General features: G+C 43.8%; 1 protein-coding gene across 22 annotated transcripts in view; it reads left to right on the top strand.

Annotated features, from left to right (window-relative positions):
* The window catches only part of LARGE1 (LARGE xylosyl- and glucuronyltransferase 1), an 856,162-nt gene that overhangs the window by 312,634 nt on the left and 524,955 nt on the right, over positions 1–18,573 (top strand). For all 22 annotated transcript variants that reach the window (XR_007067993.1, XR_002958722.2, XR_007067994.1 and 19 more), the window contains one exon: positions 5,633–5,756. Coding sequence is in view for 19 of the 22 variants with exons in the window: in XM_024452302.2 (XP_024308070.1) it covers positions 5,633–5,756 (124 nt within the window). In the remaining 3 variants the exon portion in view is untranslated. The remainder of the gene's footprint in view (positions 1–5,632; positions 5,757–18,573) is intronic.

The following is an 18,573-nucleotide window of genomic DNA, read 5'->3' as shown; positions in this document are numbered from 1 at the left end:
TATTTTCATATATGTTTATAGTAGTATCTCACTCCTGGTACCAATTTTTCTGTGTTAGGCTGTTCTTGCCTTGCTATAAACACCTATGACTGGATAATTTATAAAGAAAAATGGTTTAATTGGCTCATGATTCTGCAGGCTGTACAAGCATGGCACCAGCATCTGCTTGGCTTCTAGGGACACCTCAAGGAGTGTTTACTTATGGCAGAAGGTGAAGCAGGAACAGGTACATCACATGCAAGAGGAGAGTGGGAGCAAGAGAAAGTGTTTAAAAAAAGAGAAACTCTTTTTTTCTTAAACTCTTAAAAACTCTTAAAAAAAACTTCTTAAAAAAAGAGTTTCTCTTTTTTTAAACAACCAGATCTTGAGAAAATTCACATCATGAGGACAGCACCAAGCCATGAGGGATCCGCCCCCATGACCCAAACACTAACCATCAGGCCTCACCTCCAAAATTGGGGATTACGTTTCAACATAAGATTTGGATGGGGAAAAATATCCAAACTGTATCACAGCCTGTGGGAAAAATCAGCCCTCAGTATAGCTGGGTTTCCCATTCCAGATTTTGTTGAAAAAAATCCATATGTCAGTGGACCCATACAGTTCAACCCCATGTTACTCAACGGTCAACTGCACTTCCCTGCTGAATGCCTCCCTTTCTCCTCCTCTGCCCATTTAGAGCTCCCATTTAATTGCCACATAGTTCATGGAAACCTCCCAGATTCTTCACTACCAAAATGTCATCTCTTTCACCCTCACCACCATGTAGCTTTTGTGCTCCTCCTTGTAGAGTCGTCATATATGGTTGTGCAGGTTGTTTTCAATCTAACTCTGAGAGTGTCCTGCATATTACCTGTTGGTTTATGTGGAAGGCTCCCTGGGAAGTGGGCCATTCCCAAGCTCAGCTGTTGTGGGTGGCAGCCCAGCACAGCGGCGCATCCATGTTCTGACGTTTGTGGAGTTTTTTGTATTCTGTCTTCCTCTGACTCTCCAAGATCGTAAGCTGCCTGTAGAGAACACTCGTAGCTCATTCATCACCTGTATCCCTGTTGTAACTTATATGTAGTTATTGCTTAATAGCTCTTTGTTAGATATTCATTCAGCCCGTTTTTTGTCTGTGCTTGGAAGAACTAATTGAAAATACTTCATCAAAAACGCGATGCAAAAGTAGTAGAGAAAAAAAGCAGTATCATAAGTTAATATTGGTAATAGATAACCTGTATTGAAATCTTACCATATATCAGGTAGTACTTTACTAAGCACTTTATGTTTATTATGTTATTTTATCCTCACAATTATCCAGTATAATATTCCTTGCTTCCCATTATCTCTTTCCTGCTTTGGAGATGAGAAAATTAGGCCTTGAGAGATGAAGTGACTTGCTTACAGTCACTCAGTAGGTACTGCAGCCGGGATGCCAAGCCAGGCATTCTGGAACATAGTCCAAACTCCGAACTCTTGATACAAAGTGTGCCATCAACTGTTTCTGCCCTCCTATGCTGGTGGTTACAGTGATAATACAAGGAGGGGCATTGGCTTTTTGTTGTTGTTACAGGAATATCTATTCAGGACCCATGATTCACCAGGTTCTTTGCTGGATACTGTGGATGGGGATGAAAAGATGGTTTCTGTCGTCTGTGGTCTCACAGTAGGGACAAGGAGCCAGCAGTTTAAATACGTATCACAATGCCTTGCTACAGATGGCGGATGAGCTTTTCACACAAGGTGCAGAGTTAGCAGAAGAAAGACACGAGGAAGTGCTCAAAGAAGATTTCCAGGAGGAGATGACTTACAAAGGGAATTTTGAAGAATGAACAGGAATTCATGGGGCTTCCAAGCAGGGAAGGGCATTCCATGGAGAGGGAACAGCACAAGCAAAGATACAGAAATATGGAAAGTATGATGCATTAGAGCAAATATAAGAAGCTTGGTCCATTTATTATTGTCACCCCATGGCTAAAATTAAGCTGCCCCTCTACTGTAGATGAACATGCAACTTGACCATGATATAGGCTTACCTTTATCCATTCTCCGTTAATAAGAATCCATTATGGCAACTGTGGCCTTGGGAGACAGTCGTGGAAACACTGAGGGCCAAATGGACCGTCTGTCTCCCTGGTGACTTTGTCCTGCTGCCTCTGACTTGGCCCTCAGGTAAGCCACTGGCCAGTGGGCAAACACAGCATTGTCCCTTCATGCCACCAAGCATCACCAAGGCCCAGTGGCAGCTTCTTATAGGGCATTTAGGGAAGCTGTAGGGAAAATATGCCCCTTTCCCCTGAGCATGGTGAGCATAGATAATTTTATGGGAAAGTTGCAGTCTTTAAAAGGCAGTGGGTCCCATGGGGAAATTCTGCAGTGCTGACTGCTTTTTGATTCGTTTATTCAGTTTATTACCCTTAGGCACCTGTTACATGTATGGCAGGTTGGCCTTGAGAAATTTCTTTCTTCAGGTCTAGACCCACCCATTCAGCAGCAGCACTGGCTTTGCCACCCCTGACTTCAGCTTGGTTGCCCAATCCCAGACTCACTGTCCTCCTCCAAGGTGCCTTTCTCATTGTATTCCCTGTCCTGGAGCCATTGCCGCTGACCCAGGAACCCCAGTGTTGCCTTCTGCTCCTCCCTCTTTTTTTTCTCATATCTAATATCTGTTCTCCTGAAATCCTCTAGATCCAGCTTCCTTGTTGCTCTTCCTGGGATAGACACTTTTTTTTTTTTTTTTTTTTTTTGAGATGCAGTTTTGCTCTTGTTGCCCAGGCTGGAGTGCAATGGCACGATCTTGGCTCACAGCAACCTCTGCCTCCCAGGTTCAAGTGCTGCTCCTGCCTCAACCTCCCAAGTAGCTGGAATTACAGGCATCTGCCACCACGCCTGGCTAATTTTGTATTTTTAGTAGAGACAGGGTTTCGCCATGTTGGTCAGGCTGGACTCAAACTCGTGACCTCAGGTGATCCGCCCACCTCGGCCTCCCAAAGTGCTAGGATTACGGGTATGAGCCACGGCACCTGGCCAACACTGTCTTAATCGGATTCTCATTTCACATCCACCAAGTCTAATGATCTCCTAAATGACATGTCTACATCTGTTCCCCTCATCTCCCATCTATCCATTCAGTTCATTGATTCAACTCCTACTCTCTTCTAGGCACTGTGCTGTAGATCATGGGCCTGTCTATTTGAATGTATCTGATGTGATCCTTGAGCTTGCTGAGCTCACATGGGGGGTGTAGACAAGTAGACAGGCAACCACTACATAAGGATGAGTAGGCCGGTACGTATGGCTGGGATAACAGTTAGGAAGGACCCCTGACCTAGATGTGGGTAGTCAGGAAAGGATCCTAGGAGCAAATGATGGCGGTCCTAAGGCAGACTAAGAGATAACCAAGTGCTGAATGTGGAGGTGCAGGGTGGGCAAGACTGTGAGCTCCATGACAGCAGGGGCAGTGTGGGTATGTCTGACTCACCACTGTGTCCCCAGCATCCAGCTCATCCCCTGACAAATAGGGTGTACTCAGTGAGGATTTATTGAATGAGCAACTGCGGGACAGATGCCTGCAGAGCAAGCTAAATATGATAAGGCCCAGGGTGGAGAGAGAGCACGGGGTAGGGGGCGGGAAACTGAGAGATGGTCTGTATGTCTGGAACATAGGACAGGTGTGGGGAGTGACCATGCCGACGGCCGAGAGCTAAAAGGCCAGTCATCCTGCCCCCCACACCTCCCTGAAGTCTAGTCTGTTAATTTTTATTTTATTTTATTTTATTTCATTTTATTTTATTTATTTATTTTGTGATGGGGTCTCGCTCCATCACCCAGGCTGGAGTGCAGTCGTGCAATCTCGGCTCACTGCAACCTCCACCACCCAGATTCAAGCAATTTTCCTGCCTCAGCCTCCCAAGTAGCTGGGACTACAGGCATGTGCCACCACACCAGGCTAATTTTTTGTGTTTTTAGTAGAGATGGGGTTTCACTGTGTTACCCAGGATGGTCTCGATCTCCTGATCTCATTATCTACCCACCTTGGCCTCCCAAAGTGCTGGGATTACAGGCGTGAGCCGCCGTGCCCTGTCCAAACTGTTTTAATTAAACTTTCATTGCATTCTCATGTCCTTCTCTGCTCCAACCCTGGAGCCCTACTAAGCCCCTCCGCCCCCGGCCCCCACTCCTAATACACCCTGGGCCCAGCCTTTGTCTGTTGCTCTCCTCAGATTGCATCCCCTCTGCCTTCTTCTCTTGTCAAAGTCCTGCATTTCCCTTTAGGGCACAGCTTCCCTCTCCTCTTACACGTCCTTCTGACCCTGTCAGAATTGGCTGCTGCTCTTACTCCCGTGGAACTTTGTGTTCTTTTGTAGTCCTTATCACATTCCGCCCCGTGCTTATATTTAACTGCGCTCGTCTGTCTCTGAGCAGTATGAGCTCTTTGAGGTCAGCGGGCCGGGTCATTCTCATCTTTGTATTTCCCACAGTGCTTTATTTCTAGTAGGTACTCATTCATGGCATTACGCTTTATGTCATTATTTGTAGTAGCACAATAGTATTTATGCTAGTAGTTCTTGACTGACGTATTGCTTTGTATCTAGCCAGTAGGGCGCATCTGCTATTGATTATTATCCCATGTTTATTTTTGATGTGCCGTATTTTGCACTTCTTATTTTATTTAATCAACACAGCAGCCTGATGAGAAGGTCTTTCTCCACATTTTCCAGAATGTAGAAATAGCAGTGCAGAGGGGTAAGTGACATGCTCAAGATTCCCACTCATACATTTCAGACCTGGGTTTGGAACCTGTTTCCATTTAACTCCGGAAGTTTTGCCCTTGCGTAATGCTCCTTGGTATTTCGGGTGCTGCCTCAGTAAAAGCAACATCAGACATCTCAGCTCCTAACTGAAAGTGTTCAGGGCATAATGAAGTTGTTTGCCACCAGAATCTGATTTTATTATCAAAAGTATTAAAGTAACCGCTTGGTTGGCACAGAATCCACTTTGGTCTGAGTTCTGGCCACCAAAGCTTTCAGTAGAGGCTGGAGGCCATTGGCTTAGTATACAACCTGGAAGTGGTCTATTTCAGATGAACAAAAGCTATAGAAATATTAAAAGTGAGGACAGGCTGTTACTGGGTGATGGGAGCTCCCGATGACTCCATCTTAAAGCCTGGTTTTCTTTTGGAGAGGAACAAGCAGAAGACAGAACTTACACTGTGCTATTGGAGAAGTCTCTTGCCAGCCGCCTGCAGCCAGTCTAAAAAACTTACACTACATTGTTGTGTTTCTGCGTTAAGGCTGATAAGTCAGATATAAAGGTTGACCAAATTGTTAACACATGCTCTACTTACGGCTTTCAGAAAAAAATGAATCCTAATAACAGGTATGGCGTTTGGCCTGAATTGGGTGTCAGTAGTGATTGGTGGTTGGTTGTCACTTCTCTGAGTCACAGAGGTTGGGTGAGATGACTTCTCTCCTTTTCAGCTCCTGCAGCCTCACCAGTGAGCACTGTTTTCGTAACATTCCAGATTTACTTTCACAATTGCCGTTAGAAACGTGCCCCACCGTAGGAACTGTGAAGAGTGTGTTTTTGCAGCTGTAATTCAAAGAGCCGTACCTCTCCACCTGACCCTTCCTTCTCACACTCCCCACAGACGGAACCCTCTGCACTTCCACCTTATTGCTGACTCCATTGCGGAGCAGATCCTGGCCACGCTCTTCCAGACCTGGATGGTGCCCGCTGTGCGTGTGGACTTCTACAATGCAGACGAGCTCAAGGTATGGGCAGGAGGGGAGGCACTTCCGTGATCTCCTCTAGCTGGAAGCGTTATTACTTGTGGTTGAGCAGACTGTAGCAATGCCAGAAATCTCAGCTCCTAACTGAAAATGTGTAGGGCGTAAGGAAGTTGTTTGCCAGCAGAATCTGATTTTATTATCGAAGTATTAAAGTAACCCCTTTGAGTGCACAAAATCCACTTTGGTCTGTGAGTTTTGACCACCAAGGCTTTCTGGAGACGCTGGAGAGCATTGGCCTGGTGTATAATCTGAAAGTGGTCTATGGTAGCTGTCATCTAGAGAGTTCCATTACCCAGTGAAGTAAAGGCTGAACTCAGACCCCCATGGGCTGGGGTTTAAATTTGCCTGTTGTCACTTACTGATCAAAAGACACAAAGTAAACCACGCATCTCTGCTGGACCTGTTTTCTCATCAGTAGAAAAGGTGGATGAAATACCAAACTCATGGGGATAATTAAGAGGCTCAAATGAGAGAATATATTTGAATGTGCTTTAAAAAGACACTGCTGAATAAATATTAAAGGTTATGTCAGGCTGGAGGGGTTTCAACCAAATGAAACCTTTTTGGTCATCTCTTCCCCTTACAATTTTTTTGTGGTGCCATTTTGCTTGCATCGTGTTGAGACCCACAGCCCGATTAAGAAGTCCTGTATATTCTGGCTCTTGATTCTACTTCCAGTCTTGTCACTGGCATTCCCGTAAACCTTCGCTATTCCTTTAACTCTAAGTAGCAGAGCACACCTCTGGTTCCCTTTGCCCCCTCTTCTGTGTTTGAGTCTTTGCTTATTCTGTTCCTTCCATCTGATATTTCCTTCCCACCTATCTTGCCACAACTCCTGTTCGTACTTCAGGACTCAGCTGCAGTGCCAACTCCTCTTAAGAAACAGCCTGACTTCCACAGGAAAGAGGAAGACATTTTTTGTTCACTTGTCTGTCTACTGAACCTTTCTTAATGGGGTAGGAGGAGAGGAGCCGCATCTTATTCTTTTCTATATTTCTGGTGCATAGTAGGTACCCACTAATGCTTGTGGATTTAACAAATTGCTGTGATTAGAGGAACATGTAACTTTGCAGAAATGCACTGATGCTCTGTCTCTGATCACCTTGGGAAGGACTCAACACCTAAGCATGAGGCTGACTCTGGCAAATTGCTTGTTCCAAACCTCATAAAGCCATTATCTTTTCATTTTAGAGCCATAGCATTTTTAATAGATCACTGACATGCCAGCCAGAGTTTCTGATTTTCACATATTTCAGGCTCTGAGGTTGATGGAGATGTTCAGAATTTAGCATTTGGGGATTGTCTTGGTAATTTGCGTGCCATTCCCAATCTATTCTGAGCCTAAAATTGATTAACACTCTTAAAAAGGGAAAAACAAAATTTAGCAAATTGCTGCGCTAATTAAGGTGAAAGCAAGCCACTCTGTCTCCCAGGGTCTTAGCGCCAACACCATGGGGGAAAAGCAACATGGGAGGAGGAGCAGCAGCTGGTTCCGAAGGATGCCTCTGCCGCTGTGTTCACCATTTACCTTTCTTTGGGTAGGAGTCCAGTGCCATGTCCCCTGTGAGCCTGCACCCTTTACTTTGTAAGAAGACACCGAAGTGTGCTGGGCGTAGTGGCTCATGCCTGTAATCCCAGCACTTTAGGAGGCTGAGGTGGGGAGGATCACTTGAGCCCAGGAGTTTGAGACCAGCCTGGGAAACATAGTGAGACCCCCACCTCTACAAAAAAATTTTAAAAATTAGCCAAGTGTGACGGCACACACCTGTAGTCAGTCTAAGCTGCTCTGGAGGCTGAGGGCAGGGGGATCACTTGATCCCAGGAGTTCGAGACCAGCCTGGGAAACATAGTGAGATGCGTGTCTCTACAAAAAACTAGCTGGATGTGGTGACTGCACCTGTAGTCCCAGCTACTCTGGAGGCTGAAAAAGGAAGATCACTTGAGCCCAGGAGTTCAAGACTGCAGTGAGCTATGATCGTACCACTGTATGCCAGCCTGGGTGATAGAGCTGGCATGTGGTACAATTGTAGTGGTATGCATTATGATGTGGTACAATCACAGTGGTAAGATCATGGCTAAATGATTGTATCATTTTTTTTCCTCAAAAAAGAAAAAAAAACGGAAAAAAGAAAAAGAAAATACAAAGTGATTGGGAAAAAACTAATTTCAAATCCTGGTTTACCGCCGAAGAATTCTCTAACTGGTTTTGAACCTTGGTTCTCTCAGCTCTCAGATGGCTTGGGACTGAGTCAGCCACAAAGGAAGGGGTGAAATAAGATGGGTCAGTGTACACGACATGACAGCTTCTTAAAAATGCTTCATTCCACTTGTAGCCAAGGCCAGAATGACTTAAAATGCACTCGGGTGGTGTGGCCGGTTGTGAAGTCCATCAACAGCTAAGAAGTTGAAGGAGTAAGGTACCATGGACTGGAATTCCCTCCTGGAAGCCCCTTCCATGAGGTCTCGGATGAAAGGGGAGAAGGGGAGGAAACACTGATGCTCTGACTCTGTCAGGCCTACTTTAATCCAGGGAGACCAACTGTCTATTATTTTACGTGCTGGCTTTATATATATATACATCCGAAATAAATACTTCATGGCTTAAAAAATAATAATTTAGAAAATACAATCTGATACGTTCAAAAGAATATTGTCTCTAGAGTCCTGTCCTCTAACCCGATGTCTACTATCGAAGACTTCATCAAAGTTTCCTGACACCTGCTTTTTATTCCCCTACCAATTAACCACCTGTCTCTCTCACATTCCTGAATCCCATGAGAGTGTTGTCAGAATCCAGTACAACAGTATGAAAGTATTTATAAAACGTAATTTTTTCATAATACTAGTAACTGTGGTTCATGACAAAGCCAGGATGAAAACCCAGGCCTGTCTGACTCCATGATCTATTAGTCTGTCTATGTTTTAGTTTATACATAACCCGGATCAACAACCCCAAAGCCATGATCTGCCTACTCCACCAGCCTGACAGCCCCTCTGTAGTGGCATCACCATCTGCTTAGTTGCTGTTCTGGAACTGAGAGCTCATCTTTGTCCCTTTCTCTTGCCCTGGGTCTAACCACATCACACCCTAGCGTGGCTCCACCTCCCCTACACCTACCTAGTCCATGCTTTGTGATCTTTCCCCAGCACAATGGCAAGTGTTTTTCACACTAGTCTCTTCCTTCCACTGCTCACCTCTCCTCCCCCATATCTTTTCTCTCAGTAGCAAAAGTCAGCTTTCCAAAAACAAGCGCAGTCATGCCACTCTTTTCCTCTGGGTAAAACCTTTTCTGGTTTCCTACTGCTCTGAGCTAGAGGCCACAGTTTTTGTTTGTTTGTTTGTTTTGCAGACAGAGTCTTGCTCTGTCGCCCAGGCTGGAGTGCAGTGGCGTGATCTCGGCTCATTGCAACCTCCACCTCCTGGGTTCAAGTGATTCTTCTGCCTCGGCCTCCTGAGTAGAGTAGCTGGGACCATAGGCGTGCACTACCAGGCCCAGCTAATTTTTATATTTTTATTAAAGACGGGGTTTCACCAAGTTGGCCAGGTTGGTCTCGAACGCCTGACCTCAAGTGATCCATCTACCTCAGGTGATCTGCCTACCTCAGTCTCCCAAAGTGCTGGGATTACGGGCATGAGCCACTGCCCCCGGCTGAGGCCACAGTTCTTAACCGAGTCACATCTCTCTGCGGACGCTGGCTCCTGCCTCCTTCCAAGTTGTTCTTGCACCACTTGCGTCCTTCCTCACTCTCCAGTCCTGCAGATTCATTTTGCTCCTTCTTTCCCACCAGAGCGTTCTATTTATTAAACTGTTGCCCAACCTCCTTCCTTTCCCCCATTGCTAATGAATAACAAGTTCTTTTGCTAAAGTTACGTGTACTCAGGGAAACTTTCCCTGTCTTTATCATTTCATAGGGGTTGCTTTGTTACATGTTCTCCTAGAATCACATACATTTCTTCAGTAAACTCAACACAGAGGGTATTCTTTCATGCTTTTGTGTGATGAGCTAATAGATGTCTATCTCCTATACCGTAAGCTCCCAAACCAGGATCACGTCTGTTTTTCACCACCTTTGTATCCCAAAGGCCTGACGTGAGGCTTTTAAAGATGTTTGCTAAACATTTTTAAAAGAAGCTTTATAGATGTGTGCTAAAACTCATAAAGATGCTTGCTAAATGACTGGCTTATAAAGATGTTTACTGAATGACTGATACACAATGAATTTAGAGCTGGGTCCCTAAGAATAATAAAACCGATGGCAGAGTTTCTTTATCACGGTCAGGCCCAGGAATTCACGTTTCTTTATCACTGTAGAGCCCAGGGTCACCACATTCCTAATGCCTATTTGTGTCCCAGAGGCTTGTGTGGGTAGCCAGGAGTTTGCCCACCAGCCACCCTGAAGTCGCATAGATAAGGCAGCAACATTTGCACCAGCCCACCTCCTAAGAGCAGCTCTGGGACAGGTGAGTGAGTGTCTTTCCATGACAGGTATGCTAGGAAGGAAACACATTAAAACACCATCCAGTAGACGACCTTAGGGAAGGAGGAAGAACAGGAGAGAAATGGACTTGCGCCGTGTTCCACAGTTGCATTCAGGAAGCATGTCAGATGGTACCCTCAGCAGACACCCGTGACGGCCTCCCTTGATACAGCTCCAAGAAATCACTTTGTACAGCTGTTGGAAATGGCATTTCTCAGAAATGTTCCTGTGGGCCCCTTATGATATCTGTTAGTGCTGTAGAATGAAGTAATAGGAAACAGGACATTTGTGAGGGATTGGTGCATGATTAAAAACGAACTGTGGGAAATTCGCAGTGGACTGGTACACTTCTCTCTGTAATGACCAATTAGTGGGGATTTGCAAATAGTGATGGCTCAGCCTGCCTATCTCTATGGCCTGTGAAATGCTCATTGGTCTTCCCAATGTTTACATGGCCCATTTGTTTCCGGCCTCCAACTCCTGGTACCAACAGGCTACCAGGACTGAAGGTACCTCTGCTCTGAACTCCACTCACTCAAAACATGCAGCTCCTGTCTACAGGAGGAAAACTTATTTTTGCGTAGAGCTTTGTCAATGATGCGTGCTGTCACTCATCTCTCATGATGACCCTGGGGGTTGGAAAGATAAGTATGATTACCTCCACCTCACTTAAGTTAAAGTGTGGGGTTGAAGAGCATTTGCTTAAGATTAGACTGCTAACAAGTGCTGACGCTGATATTTGACTTTTCCCTTCCCAAAAGAAATGGTATGAGATAGAGGATTGTATAATTCAGTAGACATGGATGTAGTGGAGATCTTAAGGGAATTTGAAAGATATGGACCACAGCCCCTGGGGAATGACTGTTGGTTACCACTGTTGAGTTGCACTTGAATTCAAAATTCCTCTTTTCCATGGCTTTGGATCCCACAGGCTGTGGTCTAACATCTGTTGTTTAAGAATCACTTACTCAACCATTGTGGAAGACAGTGTGGCAATTCCTCAAGAATCTAGAACCAGAACTACCATTTGACTCAGCAATCCCATTACTGAGTATATACCCAAAGGATTATAAATCATTCTACTATAAAGACACATGCACATGTATGTTTATTGTGGCTCTATTCACAATAGCAAAGACTTGGAACCAACCCAAATGCCCATCAATGATAGACTGGATCAAGAAAATGTGGCACATAGACACCATGGAATACTATGCAGCCTTTAAAAAGGATAAGTTCATGTCCTTTGTAGGAACATGGATGAAGCTGGAAACCATCATTCTCAGCAAACTAACACAAGAACAGAAAACCAAGCTCTGTATGTTCTCACTCATAAGTGGGAGTTGAACAATGAGAACACATGGACACAGGGAAGGGAACATCACACACTGGGGCCTGTCAGGGGGTGGGGGCCTGGGGGAGGGATAGCATTAGGAAAAATACCTAATGTAGATGATGGGTTGATGGGTGCAGTAAACCACCATAGCACATGTATACCCATATAACAAAACTGTATGGTCTACACATGTATCCCATAACTTAAAGTATAATAATAAAGAATCATTTACTTCATTTCTCATGTTTTACATGGTTCTCTCATGGTCTGTTTCTCAACAACACCTCTATGGACTAGGTCCTGTTATTATTCCCATTGTACATACAAAGGAACTGAGGCATAGGGGAGTTAACTAACTACAAATCATGTAACCGGTACATGGCAGAGCCAGGATGAATATCCAGAACTGTCTGACTCCAGTATCTGTGCCCTTTCTCCTATGTCCTGTTTCCCTCTCTGTGGCTTATTTCAGCTAAGTTACTGTCATTGTGTCTAGACAAGGACTCTCTGAGCTTTTGATGGGGGCAGGTTCCTTCTCTGGGTGTTCCTGAAGAACCAGTATATTAAGCATGGCTCCTGCATGGAAGGCCTGCTGGGAATGGTACTTCCTGTAGGGGATGAAAGGGAGCCCTTCTAAGGATGCTGCTGAGGAGGGGGATGGCTCTGTCACTTCCATCCAAGGATCCTGTTCTAAACTAACAGTCATCACTCTAGACAGTTGGCTTTAAATCAGGAAAACATTTCTTGCCAGTTTTCAGACAAGGCCCTACATGTCTACCAGCCTTTGATCTTGCTCCAGCTGGCCCAGAAAGTCACCCCCATGCCATCACTGGGGTGCGCGTGATCCCGAGCTCAGGAAGGGAAGCGGCAGGGCAGTGGCTGTTTCATGATTCACCTGTCTAGCTGGGAGCCCTAATTTTTCTCCTTTTCTCTTAGACCCAATGCCCGCTTGTTACCAACATCAGAAAGATGATGAAGTGAGATTCAGGACTGTGGCTGCAGAAAATATTGATGGTGGACTCTAAAAACTGGCCTCCTACTCATCCTTAATTGCCTTTGTGCTGGTCTCTATGGAGGATGGCAGAGGTTGTCTTTAGAGAACTGTAATCTTCCAGCCCCCTGCCGTCCTTTAGGAGGCAGACTCATTGTTCCTGTCATGTAGGGGGTGGGTAAACTGCTGCTACCCTATCTGTTTCCTGGGAAGCTATGCTTCCTGAATACTGGACATTTTCTTCTGGGAGAGACTGAAGAGAGCATGAAATCATAGGATTCTAGGGTGGGAAGAAGGCTTAATACTTACAAGTTTTTTTTTTTTTTTTTTTTCATGAATTAGGCCAAGAAGTGCAACTGAATTGCCCAACAAGAGATCACATATGTTTCTTTCTAACATATAGCTTTTCCCAGAATGGGATCTGGGTTTTCTGGCTGCTGGGCCTGGTTTATAGTTCAGTGGGGACCACACTTAACAATGGTTGAACTTCAGGTGCTGTGACGAAATGCTCTCATAAGGCTGGAGCAGCTCCAGTGAAGCTGGACCTGCAGAAGAAAGAGAGAAGACATAGATATGTCTCATGGAAGGGCATTATCTGCTCTGGGATGTCCTGCAGAAACATGAGAAATGAAGTAAGGTGTGTGTGGCCTTCTGAATCCCCCAGTTCACTAATAATGTGTTAATACCCAGAGCAATGGACAGAGGTGAATAAATAGCCTATCAAAATGGGTATTTCTGGCTCTCCTTTATTGGTGAAGATTGATTGCAGTTAAATGAGAACTTGTAATGGAAAGCAATGCTTGGCACATAATAGGCACTCAACAAATCTTGCTTTCTTCTTTTTGTTCCTAATGTGGCTGCCTTTCATATATTTAAAGATGACTGTAATTAACTTCTTAAATCTTTTCTAAGCCCACCATGTCAACCCTTCCTCTTCTCCTCCAACAATGACTGCCGACCTGTCATCAGAGGGTCTACATTTTGGCTTATTTTTCTAGAATAGTTGATGGATGTATGCTCTTCTTCCTTCTTTCCTTTGTGGTCCTGTGTTATTCGGCAGGGTGACAGAGGTTAAATATTATGCGCAGGTCTGGAAAAATTACCACTTTCCCATTTTCTTTATTGTTTTATTGGTTCTTGGATTATCTGTGTGGTTTCTGAATACGAAGGCTGGTTCTGCAAGGTCAGCAGTGTACCTCTGGCCTCTGTCATGGGCTTTTCTGTCTCACACAATGAGGGCAAGATCACAGAATGGACATGGAAAAGCATAAAGCACTTGAAAGCATACCTTTGTGTATTTATAAGACTGATGTTTGACTGTGAAATGTTGGACATAGAAAATTTTAGACAATGAATGCAAACTCTAATCTGCATTATAAAATAATCTTTTTATGTCATTTGTTCAATTCACTTTTTACACAGGCAGATTTTTCTTTATTTAACAGTCTTCTAATGAATGGTTCTTGTCCCCTTTTGAGAAGCATAGAATCTTAATTAGAAAGGAACTTGGCAGTCATCTAGCATAACCTTCCACTTTCTTCTATAATATTCTATACAAATGGTCATTAATCTTCTGCTTTTGAATACTTCCAGAGATAAGAGATCATTACCTCCCAAAGGACCCTGTTCCATATTTAGAAACTCTATTAGAAATATTCGCCTTATGCCTTACTGAAATCTTCATCTTTTTCATTCTCCTCATTGGTCCACCTGAGCATTAATGAAGATCAGGTGCAAGCCTGTGTACCATTTGTCTGTTCCCTCATCTGCCTTCTCTACTAGACAGAGGGAACCTAGAGGGCAAGGTCTGTAACATTTATGTTCATGCCCAGCCTTTGGCATGGGCATGGCCAGATTTGGACAAAATCTGGCCAATCCTGGCCTCCAGCAAATACCTGGCTTCTATGTTTTGAGCTACACAGTGTGCATCAACCAGTTGTTTGAAGACCTGACACATTTACTGAGTCCTCTCTTCTTCTCAGTAATCACTACTACATTTCTTCAACTGTACCTGAAATGACAGTGTATGGAGCCTAGGTGACAGTTGACCCTTAAAACATGTCTTCTGACCTGCTTGTGGAATAAATGCCTTCCAGGTTGCTGACTTGCTTAAATGTGCTCCCCATTGTGTCTCCATCCCATAGACAGAGACATTCTCTGTGGTTCTGCAAATCACAGCACTTGGTCTAGATCTGCATATGTGACATGCCCCACCTTGAGCTACAGTTGGTCTGAGCTCAGAGTCTTAAACTCATTTAAAAGCAGTGAAGTGTCCCAACTCACCTTTTTTCTCATCCTGAGCATTGTTTCCTTCTCATTCTTATTTATTGTGGTCTTCTCATTCATACTTCATTTAACTGATAAGGAAATGCTTTATCTGTATCAAAACATCTCTTGTACCCCATAAATATATACACCTACTATGTACCCACAAAAAATAAAAATTAAAAAAAAGAGAGAGAAGTGCTTTCATATACCTACTTTCATTCTGTCCTCCCAAGAACTCCATGCCACAGAGAGGACATGTGTTTTATTATGTTTTATTTCTAAGGAATTTGCCAAAAGAATTAACCAAATGCTGCTAAAGAGAGCAGCATTTGGATGGAGCGGATGCCAGAATCTCGTTCTTGTGAGCCTTCCCTGCAGTGCTATCTCATGCACCACAAGTCTTACCTACCAGAAACTTCTGTTAAGAAACAACTTCAGCGGGGTATGGTGGCTCAAGCCTGTAATACCAGCACTTTGGGAGGCTGAGGCAGGTGGACCACCTAAGGTCAGGAGTTCGAGACCAGCCTGGCCAACATGGTGAAACTCTGTCTCTACTAAAAATGCAAAAATTAGCCGGGCATGGTGGTGGGTGCCTGTAATCCCAGCTACTTGGGAGGCCAAGGCAGGAGAATCGCTTGAACCCAGGAGGCGGAGGTTGCAGTGAGCTGAGATTGCGCCATTGCACTCCAGGCTGGGCGACAAGAGCAAAACTCCATCTAAAAAACAAAAACAAAAAACTTCATTGATTCAAGAGTGTGGTTATAATGACGGAGTTGGGATCAAAACAAGAAAGACCAGAGGTGTTTGACAAATAATGAGAAAGCAATGGGCAGGGTAAACTGGAAATTATGATGAGGTTAGGAAATTTGCACTGAGCACAGAGTCTTTGTCCAAATGTTATGAAAGGATAAAAGGCTAGAGTTGAGGAGTGAGATGTTAGAGATTTGGTATTTTCGATGAGGCCCTTTTTGGGGTTCTTTTTTTGGCATGTTAGCCTGGGATTGAGTGGCTGAGGTGTTGTTGGAAAAAGTTAATGAAAACTATGGGCTCTAGATACTGCAAGGCCCAGGGTGTTGGCTGCTTCATCCCTAGGATGATGAAACTCAAGGAAAATTGTCAAGCACCAAAAGGAATTGTATACCTGCAGATCAAAAGGAGCCTCGACAACTAAGGTAAAATCAGTGATAAGTTGCCCACATTAGTGTACACCCTAGAAAATTATTTGAATTGCAAGGATTAAAACACAATCCTTCTTTTAGGAATAGTAATTCCCATTATTAAGAGTTGATTATTTGCCAACCTAATATGCTTAACTTGCATAATCTTCTTTTATCCCTACCATTTCCTGGCGAGGAAACTGAAGCTTAGGAAAGAGACTTGTTCAGATTACTCAGCGAATGCATTGTGGAACCAAAACATGAATTTTGGGTAGTCTGACTCTTGAGCAGCGCTACCCGATGGAAATAAAACAGCAACTCATCTGTGTGATTTTAAATTTTCCAGTAGTCACATTCTGAAAAGCAAAATAGAACCAGTGCAATACATTTTAATAATACATCTCATTTAATTTTATTTATCCAAAATAGTATCGTTTCAACCTGAGATCAGTATTTTGAGAATTACTGAGATATTTTACAGATTGTAAATATTAAGTCTTTGAAATCTGGTATATATTTTGAACGTCTCACTTTGGACTTGCGTATTTTAAGTGCTCAGTAACACATATGGTTGTTGATGGCTGTGGACAAGGTATGGAACTTGGCTTTTAACACTACGTGGTAATACCAGGGCAGAGGGTGGAGACAAGCTTATTATCTTGGAAGAATAAAAATCCCGCCTCAGCTTCTGTGCTGTGAGAGTAGGTGTCCAAATAAAATGTCTGCAGAGTTTTGAGCAAAATAGACAGAGACCCAAGAATACCAACCAAGTTCTCTCATGTTAATAAGGCAACAGAAAAAAAATGATAGGCTTTGCAGGAACTCAGAAAATATACACCAATAGGCCAGGTGCAGTGGCTCACGCCTGTAATCCCAGCACTTTGGGAGGCTGAGGTGGGTGGATCACTTGAGCCCAGGAGTTCGAGACCCACCTGGGCAACATGGCGAAACCCCGTCTCTACCAAGAAAATCCACAAATTAGCCAGTCTCATAACCTGGTCTCAAAATAAATAAATAGACTTAAAAAAATTTTAAAAACAGAAAAAAGGCTGGGCGCTGTGGCTCACGCCTGTAATCCCAGCACTTTGGGAGGCCGAGGTGGGCGGATCACAAGGTCAAGAGATTGAGACCATCCTGGCTAACACGGTGAAACCCCGTCTCTACTAAAAATACAAAAAATTAGCCGGATGTGGTGGTGGGCACCTCTAGTCCCAGCTACTCGGGAGGCTGAGGCAGGAGAATGGCGTGAACCTGGGAGGCAGAGCTTGCAGTGAGCCAAGGTCACGCCACTGCACTCCAGCCTGGGTGACAGAGCAAGCTCCGTCTCAAAAAATACACACACACAAACAAACAAACAAAAACAGAAAAAAAAAGAAAATATACACAAGTGTATTGTTCTTGAAGAAACTATAGCTTCTTTGCAAGCCACCCAAAAAAGTGATCAAAATGAATATTCAGGAATGAAAAGGTATTGTTATAAAGGGGCAGACAGTGTGTACAGAGTTACACATAGAGTGATATGTAAATAATTGTTTTAAGTCAGTTGCAAGGCTGATTGCAAATGCCGAAAAGTATTTGTCTTCAGAACATACGCAAATAATAAGCTGATCACAGCCATTTTAAAACACACTGGAGAGTATGAGTTGGGTTTAAAAGCTGTTAAATATAGTGGATTTTGTGGGGTAACTTAGGTGGTATCTTTTAACTCTTTACTTTGATTATCCTGGAAAAAAGGGTAAGGTGTTTCTGCAAAGCTCAGACATGACCCCAATGAAATAAGTAGAATTAGATCTAATTTATTAGTGATGATTATTTCAAATGAAATAAAGCCTAAGTAAGAAGCAAAGAAGATGAGACAGAAAAAAATAATAATAATAATAAAATGAACTATTAGATAGCCACATGGGAAAAAATTAATCTTGCTCCTCACTTCATTCCACATACAAAAATTAACTTGAAATGAATCTTAACACCTAAATATGGGAGCTAAATCTGTAGAACTTATAGAGGAAAACAAAGAAAATTATAGGGACTTCAAGTTGGGCAAAGATTTCCTCCCTCCCTCCCTCCCTCTGTCCCCCTTCCCTCCCCTCCCCTCCCCTCCTCTCTCCTCCCCTCCCTTCTCCTCTCCTCTTTCTTTTTTTCCTTTCTTTTCTTTCTTTCTCTGGGTCTCCCTTTGTCACCCAGGCTGAAGTGCAGTGGCAGAATCATAGCTCACTGCAGCCTCAAATACCTGGGCTCAAGCAATCCTCCTGCCTCATCCTCTAGAGTAGCTGGGACTACAGGCACATGCTATCACGCCTGGCTAATTTAAAAAAAAAAAAAAATTTTTTTTTTTTTTTTGGAGAGACGGGTCTTGCTATATTGCCCGTGTTGATCTTGAACTCCTGGCCCAAGCAGTCCTGCTACCTCGGCCTCCCAAAGTGTTGGGATTACAGGTGTGAGCCACCATGCCTGGCAGAGAGATTTCTTAAATAAGACATAAAAAGCACACACTAAATAAGAAAAAAATTGATAAATTGGACTTCATCGAAGTTGAGGATTTTTGTTCTTGCAAAGACATTAATA

Source organism: Homo sapiens, chromosome 22, assembly GCF_000001405.40.
Source record: "Homo sapiens chromosome 22, GRCh38.p14 Primary Assembly".
In the NCBI taxonomy this organism is placed as follows: Eukaryota; Metazoa; Chordata; class Mammalia; order Primates; family Hominidae; genus Homo; species Homo sapiens.
Note: the sequence above shows the minus strand (reverse complement) of the source record. Positions and strands in the feature narration are given on the sequence as shown.